This window comes from Homo sapiens, chromosome 2, assembly GCF_000001405.40.
Source record: "Homo sapiens chromosome 2, GRCh38.p14 Primary Assembly".
In the NCBI taxonomy this organism is placed as follows: Eukaryota; Metazoa; Chordata; class Mammalia; order Primates; family Hominidae; genus Homo; species Homo sapiens.
The window spans coordinates 18,365,843-18,388,960 of record NC_000002.12 but is presented as its reverse complement, the minus strand read 5'-3'; the positions used below and the strand labels follow the sequence as shown (position 1 = coordinate 18,388,960).

The window sequence follows — 23,118 nt, the reverse complement described above, 5'->3', positions numbered from 1 at the left end:
CTATTTAATCACTTGGTTTCTTTTAATGGTTATTTTTATGCTAACCTTTTTATTTATTGCATGTGACACTAGTTTTCCAGTTATAAAAATGACATAAAGTTTCCTTTTAAAATTAAGTTTTTTAAAAAAGAGTTGATTTAAAAAAATATTTAATAAATAATAGTGCAAATGGATAGCAGACATAGCAACAATTATAAAGTTGGTATCAAAATGTCTGAAGTTTGAGAGGTGATACTCTAATGAAAATTATGGGATCTTCATCCACAAGGAAACTTGAAATGTGCACAAGCACCTAATAATCCTTTCGATAACTGGAAGCAACAGCACCAGGCTGGGCCCGTTAAGGGAAGGCTGATTGGTTAAGAAAATCATTCAAAGAATAAAGGGTACTCACATTGGAGCTCTTTTTATGTGCTGATGCTTTACATATATGGTTCTAATTTAACCTTTACAGCAGCTCTGTGATTACATTTTAAATGAGTACACCAAAGGCCTGAGAGTTAAGAGATGGATCCAAGTTCATGTAGCTAGTAAACAGCAAAGCTGAAATGTGAACCCTACTCCCTAAGAGCCAAGATATGTACTAAATCGAAGAGTTGAAGTTTGTCACTGAGATTCATTAAACAGCTATCCAAAACAAACAAACAACAACAAACAAACAAACAAAAACAGCTGTCCCAAGAGTAGTTGGGCCTATGTCTGTCTCCTTTCAGATTTCTCAAACCGCAACTGGATGTTGCTGCCCCAAGGGATGAAAAGGAGGAAGACAGTCCCTTAGCCAATAAGTAAAGAAGACGGCTCAGAGACCTTGACCTCTGAGACCGTGCCCGGGATGCACCTCAAATCACCAGGGTGTGACCGACCACTCATGGGCAAATAGCATGCGAGGTTTGTCTGTTGTGGTCATCCTGCGGCTAAACTAGAATCCTAGCCTGGGGAGAGTCAGCAGTAGTGTCTCTTAGTTTATAATTCATTAGAAAATGTCAATCCCCACTTCTTGGGATAGTTCAAGGGTATAGTGACAGGAATCTGAGTTGGCTACTGGTCGGTTAGGTCGTTGGTTTCACAAGCAAATGCTTCCCCCTAGTGGCTATGGCTGGTCATTGCATGTGCCTCCTCTCAGGACTCACTTCTGGAAAACTCTAAGGTGACTGTGCAATGTGGGTCACAAACAATTCTCCCTCACCTCCTACCCCCAGTAACTGCCCCACCCTGTAATATTCCTCAACAGTCCCTCTGTGCTTGCTGGACTGCCTTTGCGCCTCCTGCCCACCCTTCCCAAGGTATACTGGCTGCTTTCCAGACTTCCGGGTCCCCTCGTCCAGGACACTGGTTCTTCTCTCCTGTGCCTGGACCAGGCTGACAGCTCTTTCTGAGCATCTGCAGGCCCTGAAGCTTTGGGGACAGCGCCCTCTCCTGCTAACTTCAGTTTCACGCATGCAATTGACTCGCCCCCAAAACCGGATTGGAAAGTCTTCTCCAGACTTTCTATCCCTTAATGCAACCAGCCTAGAGAGGACTAGGCCTGTGGGTTAGAGGGATTTTATTAAATGCTGAACTCTTTTAGGAAGATGACTGAATCAGTCAAGGTTTTTCAGAGAGATAGAACCAATAAGCTAGAAAGAGACAGAGAGAGAGGAGAAATGATTAATTAAGGGAATTGGCTCACTTTGTAAGGAAGGCTGAGAGGTGTCACAACAGGCCGACTGCAAGCTGGAGAACCAGGAAAGGCAGTTGCATGGTTCAGTCCGGATATGAAGGCCTCAGAACCAAGGAAGCCGATGGTGTAACTCTCAGTCTCAGGCCAAAGGCCTGAAAGCTGGTGGGTGGTGGAGGTGGTAGGGACAGGGAATGCTGGTGTGAGTCCTACAGTCCAAAAGCCAGAGGAACTGGAATTCTGACATCCAAGGGCAGAAGGAGAAGGGCATCCAAGCTCTGGAAGAGAGAGAGAACAAATTCACCATTACGTTACCTTTTTTTTTTTTTTTTTTCCATCAGAGCCCTCAGTGGAGTGAATGGTGCCCCCACATTAGGTGAGGATGGCTCTCCCTTATTCAGTCCATTGATGCAAATGCCAGTCTCTCCTAGAAACATCCTCAGAGACACACTCAGAAATAAAGCTCTACCAGCTAGCTAGGTGTCCCTGAATACAGTCAAGCTGACACCTACAATTAACTATCACAATGACTAAGAAAGTACCTTGATTTCAGTAAGTCATCTTCTCAGACTCCTTTTGCAGCCGTACCCTGGGATCCTACAGGAAATAGAAGAGGAGAATTGTGTTTCTCTGAAACTCATCGCCTCTGCAGTATGACCCTGGGCTACACTTCCAGATAAATCTTCCCAAAACTATCAGCACTTACTCCAAGAACTCCAGCCCAAAGGAGCCAATCACTGCTTCCCACTTCACTGACACCCACCACCCCGTCTACTTGAACCCTCTTAATTTCCCAAACTTCTAATCATTCATCAAAGTTCAACTAAAATGCTTCCTGGTCCACAAAACTGTCATTATTCCCTAAGGCTTCAGCCTGAGATATTTCCCTCCTCCCATCTCCCTATTTGTTCTGAGACTTTCTTTAGAACAATTGTCACTTTATTACCACTACTGCTGCTATTGTTGCTATGGCTAATTCTACTCTTTACTCTTATTTCTTTTTAAATTTTATTTTAGGTTAAAGGGGTGCACCTGCAGGTTACCTGGGTATACTGCATGATGCTGAGATTTGAGGTATGAATTCCTGTCACCCAGGTACTTAGTACCCAATAATTTTTTGACCTTTGCCCCCTCCTTCCCACTCCCTCCAGTTTCTATTGCTGCTATCTTTATGTCCATGAGTACTCAGTGGCTAGCTCCCAGTTATAAGTGAAAACACGTGGTATTTGGTTTACTGTTCCTGCATTCATTCGCTTACAATAGTGGCCTCCAGCTGCATCCATGTGGCTGCAATGGACATTATTTCATTCTTTTTTATGGCTGCATAGTATTCCATGGTGCATATGTATCACATTTTCTTTTCCAATCCAAGCAAAGTCTACTCTTTATGGCTTTCCAGTGGTTGGCTGGAGGAAATAGGAAGACTATGAAGGAGTCAACCGTTCTGAGTGGGGACTAACCCTAACATAAAATTCAGGAAAACACTGGGCAGAATATGATTAATATTAGGAAAAAGAACATTGCCATAATAAGAATATATTCATGCTTATTGTGTGCCAAGTGTTAAGCAAAACATGGCTTACTTAATGGCTTCTTAAATATATTCCCCCAAACCCAATAGAACACGCATAAAAGACCCACTTTATAGTTAAGAAAGCTGAGGCTCCTAGAGATAAAGTAGCTATCAGCTAATTGTGGCCACAACAATGTGGGATAACAGCCACAGAACTTTACTGGCCTACAATGATCTGCCTTTATTTACTCATGGGACAGAAGGCTGAGGCTGGGCTGATCTCAGCTGGGTTTGGGTGTTAGTTTGCTAGGGTTGCCATAACACAACACCACAGGTTGGGTGGCTTAAACAACAGAAGTTGATATTCTCACAATTCTGGAGTCTGAGGGTTTAAGATTAAGGCCTGGCTGCCGGCTTGCTGTGTCCTCACCTGGTCCTTTCCCTGTGTGTCCAAATGTCCTCTTATAAGGATACCAGGCATATGGATTAGGGATTCTATTGGCCTCATTTTCACTGAATCACCTTGTTAAAGGCTCTATGTACAAATATAGTCACATTCTGAGGTACCGCGTTAGGGCTTCCACAGATGAAGTTGGTGGGGGTGGATGTAATTCAACCGTCGCAGTTGTTGGTGCGTTTGTGGAGAAGCTGATCCTTCATCCATCTGTGAATCAGCCGGAGGCTCTGCACCTACTTATTCATTAATTCATTCAACACATACTGAGGCCAATTGTGTGGAAGGAGCTCATGAGGTACAGGAGATATAATCGTAAATTACACAAACTTTCTATACTCTTGTAGCCTCATGGGGGATACAGACAATTGCAAAAGGTTATCTTAAGAAATAATAGAGTAACAAACACAAGCAGTGGGTATTAGAGTCTTAGATTTGGCTTCCTGCAGGAAGTGACACATTGGAGCTGGAGCCTCGCTCCCCACATAGAGAACAGAACAGAACACAACACACCTTCCTAGTATAAGGTAATGTGCTTGGGAAAATGTCTCATTCATGCTTACACCAGTATGATGCTTAGCATATGGACTAACACATAATAAGCAGTACTCAAAAAATATTGCCTAAAAAGACCACAGAATCAGTTTGGGAGGGATCAAGGACCCATTTTTAAGTTTTTTTTTTCCCTCTCTTGTTTATCTAGGTATCAAAGAAGAAGTAAGCACAAAAAAGAAGTTGTTAACAAGAAAAATTGGGCCTTTTATCTACCACACTGAGATTAAATAAATAAAACTGATTTGAAAAATAACTGAAAGTTATCAGATGAAAGTAGACACATAAAAATAAATACTATAACACTATCGGCACATATGGAAGACAGGCCTGATTTTTGTCCAAGAATCTGGCATTTTTCAAAAGTGACTCAAAATTAGGAAAACCAGAATCATAAATAAAAAGGCTGATAAACTTGTCTACATATTTTTTAAACTTTTGCATGGTAGCATACACACATACATACACACACACACCTGTGAGGTTGACATTTAAATAATAATTTTTTAAAAAATAATTGCAGCATATATGAAAAAAGAGTTATATTCCTAATCAAAGACCTTTCAGAAAATAACACCCAAAAGAAAAGTAGACAACTCAGTCTATACTAAAAAGAATGATAAAAAGTAAATGTATGATACATATAATAAAAATGTTAAGTCTCACTATGAATCCAAGATATGTAATTAAACACAAAAGACATACTTTATCATCTGCTGGGAAAAATTTAAAACATTGGAAATTGCCTCTTCCAATAGGTGTTGGTGGGAGTGTAAGTTGGTACAGCTTTCTAGAGGAGCATTTGATAATATATATCAATATGTGCAATGTTAATCACCTTGACAATTCTAGAATGTTCAGAGATAACTTGCCAAACTGCACCGATGTTGCACAAAAAGATTCATTGAATATTTATTACAAAAACTGAAACAAAGTATTTATCCGCAGGAGAACATTTATAGATTAAGTTTTTTAATAGATATAAAGTGAATCAAATTTTCTATTTATCCTTATACCAGTTTCTAAAATGTGTATCCTTTAAGGAATTTGTCAAATTCATCTAAGTTGGCAAATTTGTTTGTGACACAATATATTTGCTCATACTATTGTCTGGTTATCTGAGTAATCTCTTTAGGGTCTGTAGTCATGCTCTTTTATTCCTAATATTGGTAATTTCTATCTTCTCTCTTTTTTCCTGATCAGCCCAGGTTTTGGTTTCATTGTTTTTTTCTCTATTAAATTTCTGTACTCGATTGCATTGATTTTCCTATAATCTGTATCATTTATTTCTTTCTAATTATTTTGGGTTTAATTTACTCATCTGTTACTGGCTTCTTAAGGTAGAAGTTTAGAACAATGATTACAGACCTTTCTTTTTTTCTAATATGAATATTTAATGGTACAAATTTCCTCTAGACACCATTTTTTCTATCCCACAAATTTTGATATGTGTTTTCATTAGTATTCAAATCAAAAGTTTCTAGTTTCCCTTATAATTTTCATTTTGATCCATAGATTGTTTAAAAGTATATTGTGTTTTTTTAAAATAATATTTGGGGATTTTCTAGATATCTTGTTACTGGTTTCTAATTAGGTTCCATTGAAGTCATAGAAAATACTCCCTTTGATTTTAACCATTTAAAATTTATAGTTACTCGCATATGATCGTTCTCATAATTGTTTTATATGTTCTCAAAAAGAACGTGTATCTTGTTGGTTTATCACCCTCTGAATGTTGATAAAGACTGTTTGATACTGATCTTCAGGTGTTTGAGAACCTCATCAATTTTGTGTCTACTTGTTCTATCAGTTACTGAGAGGTGGCACCTTGAACATTTACCAGCAGTTCTGTGTGGAGTAATTTACTCAGCTTACAACTTGGTATTCCTTCTTTGCCTAGCCTCATGAAGTGTGACCCTATGTGTTTATAGCTTAATGTTTACCAAAAACTCAAGGAAGCCCCTTTGCAGATATCTGGACCTCTTTCTCTGCATAGCTTCCTTCTGTCCTGTATTCTGCCCTGGAAATTACCACCAACTCAGCCTCCCAGATTTCAAATACGTGTCTCGTCATCTGAGCGAGTCCACCGTGCTCCTGTAATCATTCTCACCTTGTGCTGCTGCCCAGAAAGTGCCTCCATACAGAAAGGCGGCGCCATCAGGGCTTACTTTGCCGATTTCCCTTGTCTCTGTGGTCCCAGTTTTATTCTGCCGGTTGTCTAATGTGTGAATGTAGTTATTTTATATATTTAAAAGCTCAGTTGTCTGGTTGTTTGCAGTGGAGGGAAAGTCTGGAACCAGGCATTCCCTCATAGCCAAAAGCTGAAGTTCCCAGTTGCCCGATATTAATATAGGATCACCAGTTTTACTTAGGTTAATATTGTTTAGTACATTCATTTTTCTAAATTTTTAATTTAAACCCTTCTCTGTCCTTATATTTCAGGGGTATTTTATTTAAACAGCACAGAGTTGAGGTTTTAAAAATACAGGCTGAAAGTCATTTTCTTTTAATGAAAGTAAGATCCATTTACATTTGTGGTAATTAATATTGTTCTTTGACGTTTTCAGTTTTGTTTGGAAAGCATTTTTTCCTTCTTTTGTATTTAATTTGTGCTTTTTCTAATTATACTTTTACTCCCTAAGCTAATTTAGTAGTTATGTTTTTGTAGCTATTTTTAGATAATTTCATATGCATACTTAACAAACTCTTAATTAATTAGCTGACCTTCCTCCTGAGTAAAACCAGTTTACTAGTTTTTTCTTTGACTAGCCTTTGACTAATCTTCCGGTTTAATCTATTATATTTTAAGTTTCATTTATATTTTTTCTAGATGTTCTATTTGGTTATTTTACAAATTTGCTTTAATATTCTCTTGTTACTTGCTCATATTTTCAAGTCTTTTTTATTACCAAAACATATTAAATATACTTATTTTACATCCTGCATTGGATATTCCAATTCAATTTCACAATCCCTTATGTGAGATTCTTCCATTAAAAAGTTCTGAAAATACAATTTCATTTTCATCAGGAGGGTAGACAATATCTGTTCATGAGCAAAATTCTAGCTGCATTGCCATAGGCTGTTTAAAGGCTGTGTTTCTAACCACTTTGTATATTCTGCTCTGATGTTTTTCATTATGTAGTATTGCTACAGACCCCATGCAAGCTCTTCTGGAACTACCATAAATAAACTCTATTACATTTCTGTAATCCCAAAAAGATTTGAATTTTGAACCATATCTAGTTCCAAAGATTTTTGTTAAACAAATGTAAACAGGCTTCTGGAATTCTTGTGGATCTAACACTATTATCTGTGGCTGCTGGCTGTTATTCATGGTAAATTATTTTATTTTCACCATGAGTTCACATTCTTTATAACTTCATCTTTGGGAATACTTTAAGGCTTGGGTTGAAGTTGCATTTTTCCAGAGAGAATTTCTGTCTGTTTCTTCCAGTTTCCTGGAACACTATCAATCAAGGCTAACTTTAATGCAAATTATCTGCTTGTGAGAAATGGTTTATGGTTATAAATTCTTAGGTTAAACCTTTTTTCCTGCAATGCTAACATTGAAATATGTGTGTTTCCTTGCCATCTTCTTCGGTGCTGTAGGTTTGTTTTTGTTTACCACAAAAAAATGTGTTTCTTTGGGGTCTCAACTTCATGTGGGCAATTCCTAGTTGACTCACCACCTTGAACGGGCTTTGGGTTTATTTCCTATTTTATGAACCACATGCAACCATAAAAATGGAAGTTTAAAGGCAACAGGGCTTGACCGATTCCCTGAAATAAAAGCTAGGATCAGCATTCACTTATCTCACTTCCTTTTGGGTTTCTAAGGAATTGTTACTTTCTTGCAGAATGAGCTAAAGGAAGAGATCTTTGTTTCCAACATATTACATGGATTTTTAAAAGTCATTTTTTCTTGGGGTGATGCCTTTGGGATACCTAGTGCATAATATTGCAGGAAACAGAATCCACCCCCACCTCCCACCCACCCTACATGGTTCCTTTTTCTCTTTCTGCTCTACTGGTCCTATGTTTGGCTTTTACCTGCATGATTTTTAGGTGGCTGCTATACGTCTAACAGTCTTTTGGGCATTGCAGGCAGGAAGGCATGGAAATGACAATGGAAAGAAAACAAAGTGTATTATTTTAGTATCTTCCTTTTTGTCAGGAAAACATTAGCTTTTCTAGAAGACTTCAACTGACAGTTCATTCACCAGAATTGTGCAACATGACCACCCTTGGTGCAAGCAAACTGAGAAATGAGCCAGACATGCTGCATTATGAAAAACGGGCTCTGTTAATAAAGAACTAGGGAATAGATATTGCAGTAGGAACCTGGAAATGTCTTCTGTTCCCTGGAATCATCAGAACAATAATTATAGTTTTTTTTTTTTGTTTTTTTTTTTACGCTGGGTTATACCCAGTGACAAATGAGCTATGATGTAAAACAGTGGTCCCCACCCTTTTCGGCACCAGGGACTGGTTTTGTGGAAGACAGTTTTTCCACAGATTGGGGGGTGAGTGGTTTCTGGATGAAACTGTTCCACCTCAGATCATCAGGCATTATTAGTTAGATTCTCATAAGGAGCACGTAACCTAGATCCCTCTCATGTGCAGTTTGCAATAGGGTTCAGGCTCCTGAGAAACTAATGCCTCCACTGATGTGACAGGAGGCGGAGCTCTAGGCGGTCATGTGAACGATGCGGAGTGGCTGTAAATACAGATTATGCTTCCCTCCCTCGCCTGCAGCTTACCTCCTGCTGTGCAGCCTGGTTCCTAACAGGCCACGCACTGGTACTGGTCCATGACCTGGGGGTTAGAGGCTCCTGATGTGAAAAATAGACAGATGATATAGAGATACAGAATCTCTCAACATTAGCCCTACTGACATTTTGGGTCAGGTCATTTTTTTTCTTGACAGGGACTGTCCTGTCAGGACCATAGGGTATTTAGCAGCGTCTCCTGTGGTCTCCACCCACTAGATGCCAGCAACACTCCCACTCCACGACAACCAAATATGTCTCAAGACATTGCCAAATATCTCCATGGAAGAAAAATCACTCCCAATTGAAAACCACCGATATACAGATACGGATGGACATTACATAGATGTAGATATGCATATGTAAATATGTGCACATATAACATGCCCAGGTGTGCACGTGCCTGCACACACACACACACACAAACACGTAAGATTTACTTGCTGTTCATCCCTAACACTAAGGTTGTAGCCTTTGGGGTTCCAGCTTTATGTAGGTCTCGAATTTTCACTGAAACTGTCTGAGGAAGGTACTATTATTATTCCCTGTTGACACTGATAAGCAAACTGAAGCTCTCAGAGATTGAGTAACTTGCCTAATACCACACAGCTAGTCATACTGTGGTGAGATGAGGCGGTGGTCTCTAGTCAGCTATGAACAATCTCTAAAACTTATATCTTTGATTTGGCTGAATCTTACCAACCTTACACCTTCCTGTTCCTCTTCACAATAGTTACCTGTTTATTCAGAATATTGCTGTTGCAGAGACTTCTGTAATGTTCTTCCTCTAACCCTTTATGTCATTTACATCATATGTCTGACCTTCTCTAATGCATCCTCTTGTGTAAAGACTTCCATTTCTCCAAGCTCAGCTCAAGTAACATCAAATGAAACCTAACACTGGAATGTAGACACCCTTCAACTAGAGATTTCATTAATTTTTAGATTCCATAGTTTCCTAACAAGACTCACTGAATAGATACTGTGTTACACAGTCCAGATCCCCACTTCAGGGCCAACATAGCCTGGTCTCAGCGTCTGGAAATATCAGCTGCTAATTTATAATGTGACCCTGACAGAAAATTGCACTTGACTTTAGGGAACTGGTTTGTCCAAGGTTATACACCTCACAGGAGCTCGCCCATGGCCAATAATTGGCCAATGCAGGGACACAAAGGCCCAGTCTCCCTTAATTTGGGACAATTCCAAAAGGCCATCTCAGCTCCAGAGCTCCCCATGAGACTGGCTGTGGCAGCAGTTCTAACTATGTTGTTATTCGGCTTCTCTTTCTGCACAATTCTGTCTGTGTAACTTCTTCATAGGTGCACCTTCTGAGAGTAATCACCCATAAACCATCTATATGCTACTCTTTGTTTCATAATGATCTCCAGATAATCCAATCAATCCAGTTGATGTCAGCGGTGGATCTAAGATGTGGACCAAAGAGAAATGGATGGAGCATCTGGTAGTTTGTGATACAGAAAAAACACAACTATCAATAAGCATACTGGTATTACATATTTTAAAATCATGTTGCACTTTCTAGTTGGAAATACATTCTTTTGCAAAATTTCTTATCAAACATCCATGAAGTCCTTGAAGGTTTGCAGAAATTCCTCCTAATTCCATGGAAGAGATGTGCATGGCTGTATCACCTATGCCAGTGTCCAGAATAAGAGCCATTCTCCTCCTGACTCCTCATCCTTGGCCTTTGCCTCCCTTCGAGGGTCTCCTGGCTCCACAGTCTTCTTCGGTGAAGAGTTACCCCTATCCAACAGCAGAGGGCAGCAAAGCCTATATTCTGACAACAGAGATTTCCTTGACAGGGATTTTCAGTCTCAGGGCAAATAATTTCAAAGAACTTTGTTACTGAAGACTAAAGCTAATTAAATTATCACTCTGGAGTGAAGATTACCCAGAATTAGTAAAAAACAAAATTTGCATATATTAAGTATACTGACTCCTGGAATAAACCCGAAAGCACAAGGGTAAATCAAACCCAAGATATCCAATAACCTCAGGGCCTCATCTGAAATCTCTGAACCCAGGAGTGAAAGGAATTTGAGGTGAGGCTGTGGCTCCATGAGCTTTCCATCCTCCTTCCATTCAGTCCATTTGTGCTCCTCCCCAACTGATTGGACAAACGCCACTAGGAAGCAAATGTGACAAATCACAGTCATGGCTCCAAATGACCTCAGGAAAGAAGGAAATGTTCCTATTCATAAACATGTCTCCCAATTTATTTAGCATTTTTTAAAAAGTATTTGAAAAATATTTTATAACTTTTCCATATTTGCTTTGCACAGATTTGCACAGATTTGAATACCTTGTATTTCCTTACTTCACTTGCAAACTATGTATTTTATTGAAACTGCATGTTTTAAAACTATGGCTGGTGTATAAAATACAATTGTCTTTTATTAATATCAGAAAAAAATATAAATTATTAATGTAAGCAATTTTTATAGTTTTTTTGGCTTTTCTGTGAAAACAATTATATTACTTGAAGTTAATGATAGTTTACTTTCTCCTTTCCAAACCTCGTACTCCTGCTTTGTCTTATACTAGTTTATTGGCTAGAACAACCAGTAAATGGTTAAAATAAGAGTGGATAGCTGGTATCCTTGTCTTTCCTCATATCTTTGGGGGAATACTTTTAGTATTTTATCATTGAGCATGATATTTTCTGAAGGAATTCTTTAAAATACATAATTTATCCATTCGTAAGAGATTAATAATGATAAAATGTTTAATGTCTTCAAATATTACTTTAAAATTCATTGTGATGATTCCACAGTTTTCTTCCCTCTGTTTCTTAGTATGATGCAGTAGGCACATCGTCCATGATCTCATCCCTGGCAGCTGTGAGTTTGTTAGCCCACATGGCAAAAGGAACTCTGCAGAAGGGATCAAGTTTAAAGATGTTGAGGTGGGGATATCATCCTGGGTGATAGAGGTGAGCCCCGTCTAATTACATGATCCTTAAAAATGGAAGAGGGCGGGAAAGAGTGGGTCAGAGAGATGCAGTATTGGACTAACCCACCATTGTTGGCTGGGAAGAAGGAGAAAGGAAACCATGAGCCAAGGAATGCCATGGCCTCCCAAAGCTGGAATCAGCACACAGTTTATGGCCAGTAAGAGAACAGAGACCTCGGTGCTACAGCCACAGGGTACTGGATTTTGCCAACAATCCGAATGACCAAGGAAACAAATTGTCCACTGCAGCCTCCAGAAAATAATTCAGCCTCGTCGGCACCCTCATTTTAGTGCAGTGAGGCCTCCATCTGACTTCTGAGCTTCAGAACTATAATATGATAAATTTTCAGGATTTATTACATCAGTAATGGAAAACTAATACACATGGCAAATCACATGAAAAGATTTTCTATTTTGAACCAACCTTACATTCTTGGAATAAAGACAGCTTGTCATAAAGTATTAATTATCAATTTGTTATACATCGTCCAATTCAGTTTGCCAAGAGTTTGTTTTGGATTTTCCTCTATCATTAGAAGTGGCCTGGCACTTTCTTTCCTTATACTGTTCTTTTCAGACGTTTCTATCAAAGCTATCCTGATCTCAGCGTTAGGGAGTGTTCTGTGTTACACATCCTAAAATTGGTTGCTGTGGGACTGCAATTCTTTCTTCTATCAAAGCTTTGTAGAATTAACCTGTTTATTCATTTGCACCCTGTTTGATCCTTGTGGGAAGACCTGAAGCACTGATTTAATTTTTTAATAGTTATAAAACCCTGCAGTTTTTCTATATATTCATAAGCCAGTTTTTATTATTTATTATTAGTATTCATTTTATTTGGCTGTATATGACAAAACAAAACAACTTTAAAAAACAGGCCCCTGCCCTTCAATGTATGTAGTTTCACTTACACAAGATAAATAAATTCTAGAGCTCTGCTCACAATATTGTGCCTACAATTAACAACATGGCATTGTGCACATAAACATTTGTTAATAGAGTAAATCTCATCTTAAATGTTCTTGTCATGATCAAAAAAATAAGGCTTAAATAAAATAGAAATTAATTTCTCCCTCACATAAACATAAACTCTCCAGGACTGGTATAGTAGCTTTGCGATGGGTAGAGCCCTAAGTTGTTTCTTCCATGTTTGCCCTAGAGTTTCCAGGATACACTCACAACCAATCTTAGTCCATTACAAGCATCACTATAGCACTTCCTGGGTAGTGCCAGTGCCTTGTAACAGAGTATTCTCAGTGTCTCTCTTTCATCCCCAATACCCTTGCTGTCATTTTTCTCATGTATTCGTATGCTATAATGATGCAACACATTGCTAGCTATTAATACTCTAAGGAATTAATTAAGAATGAGGAAAATAAAATATTTTATTTTACCTTCATTTATCCCTTCTCTGATTTTTTTTTTATTCTTTATGTGGACCCAGGTTTCTAACTTCCATAATTTCCCTTCTTTCTGAAGAACTTCTTTTAACATTCCTTTCAAGGCAAGTCTATTGCTCACAAATTCCCTCAGTTGCTGTTTGTCTGAGAAAGTCTTTATTGTTCCTTTACTTTTGAAGGAAAATTTCTATGGATAATAATTGTAGCTTGGTGGGTTATTGTCACACTTTAAATATTTCACTCCAGGCCGGGTGCGGTGGCTCACGCCTGTAATCCCAGCACTTTGGGAGGCCGAGGTGGGCAGATCAGAAGGCCAGGAGATCGAGACCATCCTGGCTAACACAGTGAAACCCTGTCTCTACTAAAAAATACAAAAAAATGAGCCGGATGTGGTGGCAGGCACCTGTAGTCCCAGCTACTCGGGAGGCTGAGGCAGGAGAATGGCGTGAACCTGGGAGGCAGAGGTTGCAGTGAGCCGAGATCGCGTCACCGCACTCCAACCTGGGCAACAGTGCAAGACTCTGTCTCAAAAAAAAAAAAAAAAATTTCACTCCACATTTTTCGTCCTTGAATGCTTCTTGAATAGAAGTCTTATGCGATTTGTATCCTTGTTTCTTTTAAATAAGGTGTTTTTATTTTAGGGCCACTTTCATGATTTTCTCTGTCTTTGGTTTTCTGTAATTTGTATATGGTATACCTAGCTATAGATCTTTCAGCATTTATCTTGCTTGGTGGTCTGTGAACTTTCTAGATTAGGGGTTGGGTGTCTGGCATTAATTTTGGAAAATTCTCGGGCATTATTAACTCAAATATTTCTTCTGTTTCTTTTTCTCTTTCTGGTATTCCCATTATATTCATGTGATATCTTTTGTAATTATCCCACAGTTATTGGATATTCTGTTCCATTTTTCATTTCTTTTTTCTCTTTGCATTTCAGTTTGACATCTTTTCAAGCTCACTGACTTTCTTCAGCCATGTCTAGCCTACTGATTAGCCTAGCAAATAAATTTTTAAAAGTCTTCTGTTACAGTGTTTATTTCTAGCATTTCCTTCTGATTCTTAAAGTGTCAATCTTGCTTCTTAGATTAACCATCTGTTCTTGCATATTGTCTGCTTTTCCATTAAAGCCCTTAGCATATGAGGGGACTTCAAAAGTTTATGGAAAATTTGAATTCAACAATAAAAATAAAAAATATAAGCTTTGTTTTCTAACATAAACTCCATCAAGGTCCAGACACTTTTGTAAGCAATGATACCGGCCACTTAGTCTATCAATAAAAAACTAAGGGCCCTGGGAATTTAACCATGCCAATGTAGTCTATTTACTTTTTTAATTGAAGAGAAATGGGTGCCCTTTATAGGTATTTTAAGAGTAGGAAGCAAAAATATGTCAGAAGGAGCCAAATAGAACTATAAGCTGGGTGCCTACAAATTTCCCATCAAAACCCTTGCAAAACTGCCCTTATTTGATGAGAGGAATGAGCATTGTCACTGTGGAGTAGCACTGCAGACAGTAGCATTGTCATGGTGGAGAAGGACTCTCTGGTGAAGCTTTCCCAAACTTTTTTTTTTTTTTTCTTGAAGCTTTGGCTAACTTTCTCAGAACATTCTCATAATAAGTAGATGTTATCATTATTTGGCCCTCCAGAAAGTAAGCAAGCAAAATGCCTTTAGTATCTCAAAAAATTGTTGCCACGACCTCTGCTCTTGACTGGCCCACTTTTGTTTTGACTGGACCATTTCCACCTCTTGGTAGCTATTGCTTTGATAGTCCTTGGTCTTCAAGATCATACTGGTAAAGCCATGTTTCTTCTCCTGTTACAGTTTGTCAAAAAATGCTTCAGGATCTTGATCTCATTTTTAAAAATCCATTGAATGCTCTGCTCTTACCGCAGCTAATTTGGGTGCAGTGGTTTTGGCAACCATCAAATAGAAACCTTGCAGAACTTTAATTTTTCAATCCCAATTGTGTAAGCTGAACCAATTGAGATGTCTATGGTGTCAGCTATTGTTTCTGCTGTTAATTGTCGGGCCTCTTCAATTAGGGTATGAATAAGATTAATTGTTTCCTCTCAAATTGATGTGGATGATCTGCTGTGGGCTTCATCCTCAACATTGTCTCATCCCTTTTTAAAATGAGTTGTCCATTTGTAAACTGTTTTCTTTGGAGTACTGTCCCCATAAACTTTTTGTAAAGCACTAGTGACTTCACCATTCTTCCACCAAAGCTTCACCATAGATTTGATGTTTATTCTTGCTTCAATTTTAGTAGAATTCATGTTGCTCTGATAGGGGCTCCTTTCAAACTGATTCTTATCCTTCTTCGAGTGCCTCAGGCTAGATCCTGTTCTGACATGTTGTAAAAAGCCATTATGAGTTTATTTTGGTACAGGCAATTTTTGGAATCCATGCACAGTTTTCTCATAATATGCATTTTTTGTGAGCTTTTTGAAGTCCCCTCATATTAAACATAGTTATCATAATTTCCCTATATAATGATTCCAAAAGCTGTCTCATCTCTAAGTCTGCTGCTTGCTTTCCCTCTTCTTGTGTTTTTCCTTGTCTTTCAGCATGCCTTGCAATTTTTAATTGAAAGTGGGCATGACATATTGGGTAATAGGAAATGAGGTTAATTAGGCTTTTAGTGTAAGGTTTTATGTTAATTTGGCAAGGAGCTTCAGTGTATTTATTTGTTGTAGTTTCAGGCTCCAGAGGTTTTGGTATCCTCCAGCTTCCTTGTATATTTTGTTTTTTTTTCTCCTCTGTTGTTTGGGTTTCCCTAAGAACTTCTTCATAAATACAGTCCATGGCTTGCTGTTCTCTGTTGTAATTCATTTTTATTATACTGGAGTCCTGTTTATGTTATGGTAAGCTGCTGAGAAAGAGAAGCATTGTATATTCTTATGATTAAATCTCAGTTTTTTAGTGGGCCTGAGTTTCCAGGCTGTGAGCTTTAGAAGCATTTCTTGGGCTTTTTTTTCCCACCCTTGCATGAGACAAGAAGGCTAGAGAGGTCGGAAAATGTCTAATTGCCTTTCCCCAAGATGTGAAGCAGTATATTGCCCTAGAGGACAGGCTATTGTTACACAGAATTCTCTGATAATATTTCAAAATGGCTTCTTTTTTGTTGGATGTATTTCAGAATGTATTTTTACCCACTCCTCCTGCCTGCAACATAGGAGATATTTCTCTGATCCTCACTTTGAGAACCTGGTGGGTGTTCTGGTGGCAAACCAACCACCCAACCACCCAACCACCTGTTAGGTGTTGGGGACCACCTAACACTGGGTTCTTTAGGAGCATTCAAGTATCAAGCTAGTATACTCTCTACCTTTAGCAATTCATGAAAATTATTGTTTAGGTGGTCCTACCAGTTACTGAGTGCAGTTCCTTCCACTCTTGGGCTAATCTTGGCTGTGGTTCTTCATATGTGCCAGTCTCTCCAAATGTCAGGGTAGTAGTTTGCCCTGTGATCTTAATCCTCTGATGGATCACAGAAATGACATGGATTTTTAGTTTGCTTGGCTTTTCTTCTTCTTGTGATGACTAGAGTGATGACTTCCAAACTGTTTACATGCTGAAGTTGAAATCAGAGGTCATACTTTTCCTATTCAATCTGACAATCTCTGTCATTTGATTGGAGTGTTCAGACCATTTATATTTAACGTGCTTATCCATGTGGTTGGGTTTAAATATATCATGTATAAATTTTTAAAATTTAAACCATGTCTTCTTTGCTCCTTTTTCCCCTTTTCTGACTTCTTTGAATAAATTATTTTTGTAATCAATTGTATCTCTGTCTTGGTTTATTAACTATACCTTATTGTTTATTATTTAGTGATTGCTCTAGGGATTACAGTATTGATATAAAATTTATCACATGCTAGCTTATAATATTTTACCACTTCACTTACCATGTAAGAGCATTACCACAATATAGTTCCATTTTCCCCTTTCCTTATCTTCTGTGCTATTATTGTCATTTAGTTTACTTTTACATATATTTTAAACCCTGTAATACACTGTTATTATTTTTAAGAAATTATCTTTTAAATAATTTTAAATGAGAAAAATATTTCTTATATTTATCAGTCTACTCAATATCTTTAGCACTCTTTATTCTTTTATATAAATTAGAGTTCCCTTTGACATCATATTTCTTCTTCCTAAAAATTTTCTTATATATTTCTGTAGTGTATATCTGCTAAAGTTGAATTTGCTAACCTTTTCCTTCCCTGAAAATAATTTTTCACCATTATGTTTGAAGAATATTATTCACTAGGTATTGAGTTCTATGTTGAAAATATTTTTTTTCTTTCAGCAGAAATATGTTATTCTATTGTCTTCTAGATTTTATAGTTTCTGGTGAGAGGACTGTGATTATTTTCAGTTTTGTTCCTCTTTATGTGTCTTTCTTCTAGTAACTTTTAATATTTTCTCCTTATTGCTACCTGTTTTTAGCAATTTGACTACAGAAGCTCTTTGACTTACAATGGGATTATGTCCTGATAAGGCCATCAAAAGTTGAAAATATTATACATTGAAAATTCATTTAATATATAGTAATTCCTCAGTATCTGTAGAGATTTGGTTCTGGGATTTCCTGCAAATATCAAAATCCACCAATACCCAAGTCCCTTATATAAAATGGGACAGCATTTGTCTACAACCTATGTTCATCCTCCTGTATACTTCAACTCATCCTTAAGTGACTTACAATACCTAATACAATACAAAGGCTGTTAAAATGGTTGTTATAAGATATTGTTTTATTTGTATTTTTTTGTTGCTGTAGTTTTTATTCTCTTTTATTTTTTCCCTAATATTTTGAAACCGTGGTTGGTTGGATCTGTGGATACAAATAATCACAGTTTAGCTTGGCCTTCCTAAAACATGCTCAGAAAACATACATCGGCTTACAGTTGAGCAAAATCAGATGGAAAGACAGTACACTGCAGAGCAGGAGTCATTTGCCCTCATGATCACATGGCTGACTGGGAGTTGTTGCTGCCTGCCACTGCCCTACATCATGAGAGGCTGTCACATTGCGTATATCTAGCCTGGAAAAGATCAAAATTCAAAAAATACAGTTTTCATTGAATGCATATCACTTTTGCACTATCGTAAAATTGAAAAATAATCATAAATGGAACCATCAAAAGTCAATGACTAGCTCAATTTTCAAAACGTGTTGTTTATGGCAGAAGGTACATCTGTTCGCAGTTAGTGCATTACTGCATGGTACCATTGTGTCCCTTTCTAAATACATGCTGATGTGTTTTTGCTCAATTATCTTTGACTGCAGCAGTTACCAACCAGCCTGTTATTTTCCCTAAAATAGAATAGGGTGAATACTCTTAACATTCCTCCCTATTTAATCAAGAGGTCATTAGCGGCTCCTGCATTAGACACTGGGTAAAAAGCTGGATATTCACTATTCTTTTATTTCTCTGAGGCCGTTAATTTAAGCTGAGGGGAGAATTACTGGTGTATGGAAAATACTGAACCAGGGAATTCTGTTACTGAGTTCCCCTGTAAATAAAAGAACATCTTTACTGTTTTCAGAACATACCTTATTCTTTCAAGAATGAGAATCCCCTTGGTTTTTGGATTTCATCCCATAGCCGTGAATCAGTTGCCGAGTTTGTTGAGAAGTGGGGGCAGCAATGCATCATCACCTCTTCTCTCTGATGAATAGATGTCTAGTTTACCCTGGATGGGCCCATTGCTGGGAAGTTGACTCATGTCTTTATTTCCTCAGTTCTGTTTGGAAGTTGGACCAGAGAAAACAATAGTAAAGAATGGTCATTTAATCTCTTCTCTAACTGACCATCTCTGCTCATCTACATAAGTTGAAATGCACTCCATATTACTATTTTTTGTTTTTTCCCCCGCCCTTTATGTGGTCTATCTAAGCTCTAGGCTTGTTACCTGCAAGCATAGGAGCATAGAGATATTAGTAGTAGCCCGCAGAAATATTTTTTCTTCACACTTACTTCAATTTTGAGTTTAAGGAGAGTTGTTCGTTGTTACCTTCAGGTCAGTCTCAATTTGATGTTAAAGATAAAGTAAGACCTCATCTGACAGATATTTTTCAGAAATTGTAGTATGAGATTAGGGACCTTTCCTAGTTTCAGCATAGCTGAGGTTTTCTTTCAATTTCATGTCTGTGTGCTGGACAGTGGAATATCTTGTAAATGTATGATTACTTTGTCACACTTGCTGGACAAAAAGTAAAGCCTTCCAAAATTCTTTTAAAAAAGAAATCAAATTCTTCAATTTCCTTATTTTCCTCTCCCATCAATGTAGCAAAGTGGGACTCAGGACACTTCTTGTCCCTCTCAAGTCTGTAGCTCTGAGTTCCTTTGGGGTAATTTGCCTTTTTCTGTAATTAAGTCAACATGATTACCCACCAGCAGCCTTTTCAAGGTTATCACTGCTGTAACATTGATATTTCCAAAGAGACTGAAATGTGAGAAAAAAATGGTCTTTAAGCAGACTCAAGAGAGATTTGAGATTCATTGTGCACATTAAAATGCAAATGTTTGTGAAATTCATTGTAAAAAAATGTACACTTCTATGTAATGCAATATTTAACACAACCAGTAGCAATACCCTCAGCACAGTGCAATTAAGAGCACATTCCAGAGGAATAGGTTCTTTTTTTCCACAAGTATAGAAACTTACTGATTAGATATGGAGGGTAAAATGAAATCAGTTTAGTGTGGTCAATTATAATGCATTCTTAAAAAAACACAACTTGTTGAGGTATGATTGACATACAAAAAGCCATACCTATTTAAGTATACAACCTGATGAGTTTGGAGATAAGTATACACCATGAAACCATCTTCACAAGCTATGCTGTAAACGTATCTATCACCTCCAAAAGTTTTCTTCTGCCCGCCTTAACAAATACTTTCTTGTAATTGATTCATTATGGTAAATTAAAGCTAAGAGAAAAATTTCCCTGAGTGAGCTGAAAATTTATTCCCTGCCTGTTAAACAACACGGATAGGGTAGTAAAATATGATTCTTCTAACTGCAATTCCATGGGGTCCTTGGACCCTATGGTCCTACTTATCACATCGCTGCATTGCATTTATGGTCCTTTAGATACATAGACAGAGATAGAGATAGAGATAGAGATAGAGAGAGATAGCTTAACTTTACCTCTAATATCCAGAATATGCTGAGTGTTCTTCCATCATCATTTAAAATCTAATCTGTGAAAAAAAAGAAAGATAATTTAGAAACGGGTATGCTTATTTCACCTTAGTTTAAAAGTTAAGCAGATCTTGAACAAAGGCAGCAATACCTATTGTCACTGATCAACCTCTCTGGAGTCTTTCAGCTCCTTCTCTTCAGTTGGCCTGCACTCTGGAAATCCATTCTGAGAAAGCAGCTGGCGAAAACAGGTGCCAAATCTGACTCATTTCTGAAGCTATAGATGTCAGGTGTGCATGAGGTTTCTTGTTGGTTTTGATGATTCCAGGGGAACTGGTCATCTGTGAGAACTACTTATCTATATTGTTTGCCTTCTAAATTTTCTGATTCAAATTGAAGTTTAATTTTTTAGGACCTTATATTAGTAAGAATCATTTTATGTATCTCAACTAACAACTCCTTTGGGACAGAAAATATATCTTATACTGTTTTATATTTCTAGTGCCCAGAAATAAATTCAGACTATTGTGGAGACTTTTCTGCCTATGTAATTAATCAATTAATTTATCTACATTTTGGCCTCCCTAAATCTCACTGTAAAGATGGAAAGTTAGCCACTAAGAAGCACAGGCCCATTATTTGTGGAAAAAGCCAAAGTTGGAGAAATATGCTGCTTTAGGAGTAGATTTTTCTAAGGTGGGCATGCTAAACAAACACAGAAACAGTTTGCCATAGAGGCAGATTGAGAAGGCAGACAATATTTTCTATAACAGAATTAATGTAATTCTAAAGTAGAATTGACAGATCACAGATCCTTACTGCTGCAGCAAGTCTCTGAGGTCATTGAGTCCATGAGGATTCATTAATTTATCAATAAGATGTTAACCTGTGCCAGGCATCTTGCAAGAATCAGAGATATTGGGATGAAGCAGAAATTATCCCTACCTTCAATGATCAGGGCAGTGTTATGGAAGGAGCAATGCATGGATCTGACCTATATAATGCTGCACACTGATGGCCAATGATGTGGCCAAAGGATCTGGCCTAAATTCCATCAACAGCAAACTATGAATTCTTAGACTTGTCTTATAATTCCTTTGAAACATGTTTACTTATTTGAAGAAGAAAAAATTTTAAAGAGGCTACAGAGATAGCTTAAGGTCAAAGACCAGGCAAGTGAGTGTGCCTCCTTTTTCCTGAGATCCCACTGAAATAAAAAAAATAAGTAAAATAAAAGAACAAAAAAGAACAAAAACAAAAAGAACAAAAAACAATAGTGATGAAGAGAAAGAACTGGAGGATAGAAATGTTATTTATATATAGTTGTAAGAATTCTAAAGAAAATTGGATATAAAATGAGGTGACAAATAAAACGGAAGGAGAATGTCCAGCAGATAATATACCACGAGAGCCGCCAGGGCAGTAGAAGCCCACCTACCCAAAGGACCTCAGAAAGGCACTGCATTCAGAGTCAGCATATGTGTTGCTTGGGGGAGGACAGAGGCAGGAATTAAAAGTTGAGTAGAAGACAGAAGGGGCAATTGAAGGTCAGTATATTGGACAGTTGAACAAAATGTGTTGTGGCTTTTCCTGCCCCACCCCTCCACAACCCACACCCGCTCCAGCCCACAGAAAACAGGCAGCCAATATCTAGCAAAAGGTAATACATGAGGTGGATATTTCTAACAAAATCAAATGGAATTCTTTGAATAATCTAATTCTTCTACCATAACTGTACAGAACCTAGACTAAAACCTTTTACTTTCTGATGTAGAATGGCCAGATTTCAGCCCTCTCAACCCATGGTTAGCATAATCATTAACATGTTCTACCTTGAGATCCTAGATGTAACTCCAATCCAGGTGAGAGCCCTAGCCAGGGAACTAACTTTAATGATGCTTAAAGAAAACCATCTCACAGAAGCAAAATAAATATGACATCAGATTTCATGTTGGAAAAATTGCAAATTAGAGGACAGTTGAACAACATCATTAAAATTCTAAAAAGAAAAACCTAGAATCCTTTACCCAATGAAAATACTTTCAAAAATGGAGGCAAAAGAAAGCCTTCAAAAACACAAAGGCTGAAGGAACTAATCACCAGCATATATATAATATAATAAATATTAAACTAAGTCTTTCAAGCAGAAGGAAAATAATATCGAATGGAAATTTGGTTCTGCGCAAAGGAGTAAAAAGTACCAGAAATAACTACATGAATAAATATAAATACTATTTTTCTTATTACTTAAATATATTCAAAAGATAATTGACCACTTAAAGCATAAGGAATAACAGTAATTTGGAATTTTTACTTGATCGATGTACAAGTAAAACATATGACACTAATAGCATAAAAAAGCAAGAAGGGAGAAACGGAGGCATGATGTCATAGGTCTTATACTAAAAGGTAAGTGGTGTACTACCACTGGAAGGTAGCTGTAAATTAAAGATAGTGCATTAGCCCATTCATGGTGCTATAACAAAAATACCAGAGACTGGGTGTCTTAACAATAGTAGAAATGTATTGCTCACAGTTCTAGAGTCTGGGAAATCCTAGATCAAAGGGTTGGCAGATTCGATGTCTGATGAGGGCCTACTTCCTGGTTCATAGCTGGACATCTTTTC

The 23,118-nt window shown here is 37.6% G+C and overlaps 1 long non-coding RNA gene across 1 annotated transcript in view, besides 1 other annotated feature; it reads right to left on the bottom strand.

Moving 5' to 3' along the window:
* Positions 1-2,420, bottom strand: part of LOC105373454 (uncharacterized) — a 148,852-nt gene extending 146,432 nt beyond the window's left edge. Inside the window, exons 1-2 of the long non-coding RNA XR_001739302.1 lie at positions 2,200-2,420; positions 1,670-1,935 (exon numbers count right to left, since the gene is read on the bottom strand). This is a non-coding gene — a long non-coding RNA (uncharacterized LOC105373454). The remainder of the gene's footprint in view (positions 1-1,669; positions 1,936-2,199) is intronic.
* Positions 1,039-1,168: a silencer, noted in NCBI's record as "silent region_11195". NCBI's record gives its function as "represses an Ori minimal core promoter by ATAC-STARR-seq in GM12878 lymphoblastoid cells {active_cell/tissue: GM12878}" and the evidence as "EXISTENCE:reporter gene assay evidence [ECO:0000049][PMID:35858748]".
* Positions 2,421-23,118: the final 20,698 nt, after the last annotated feature.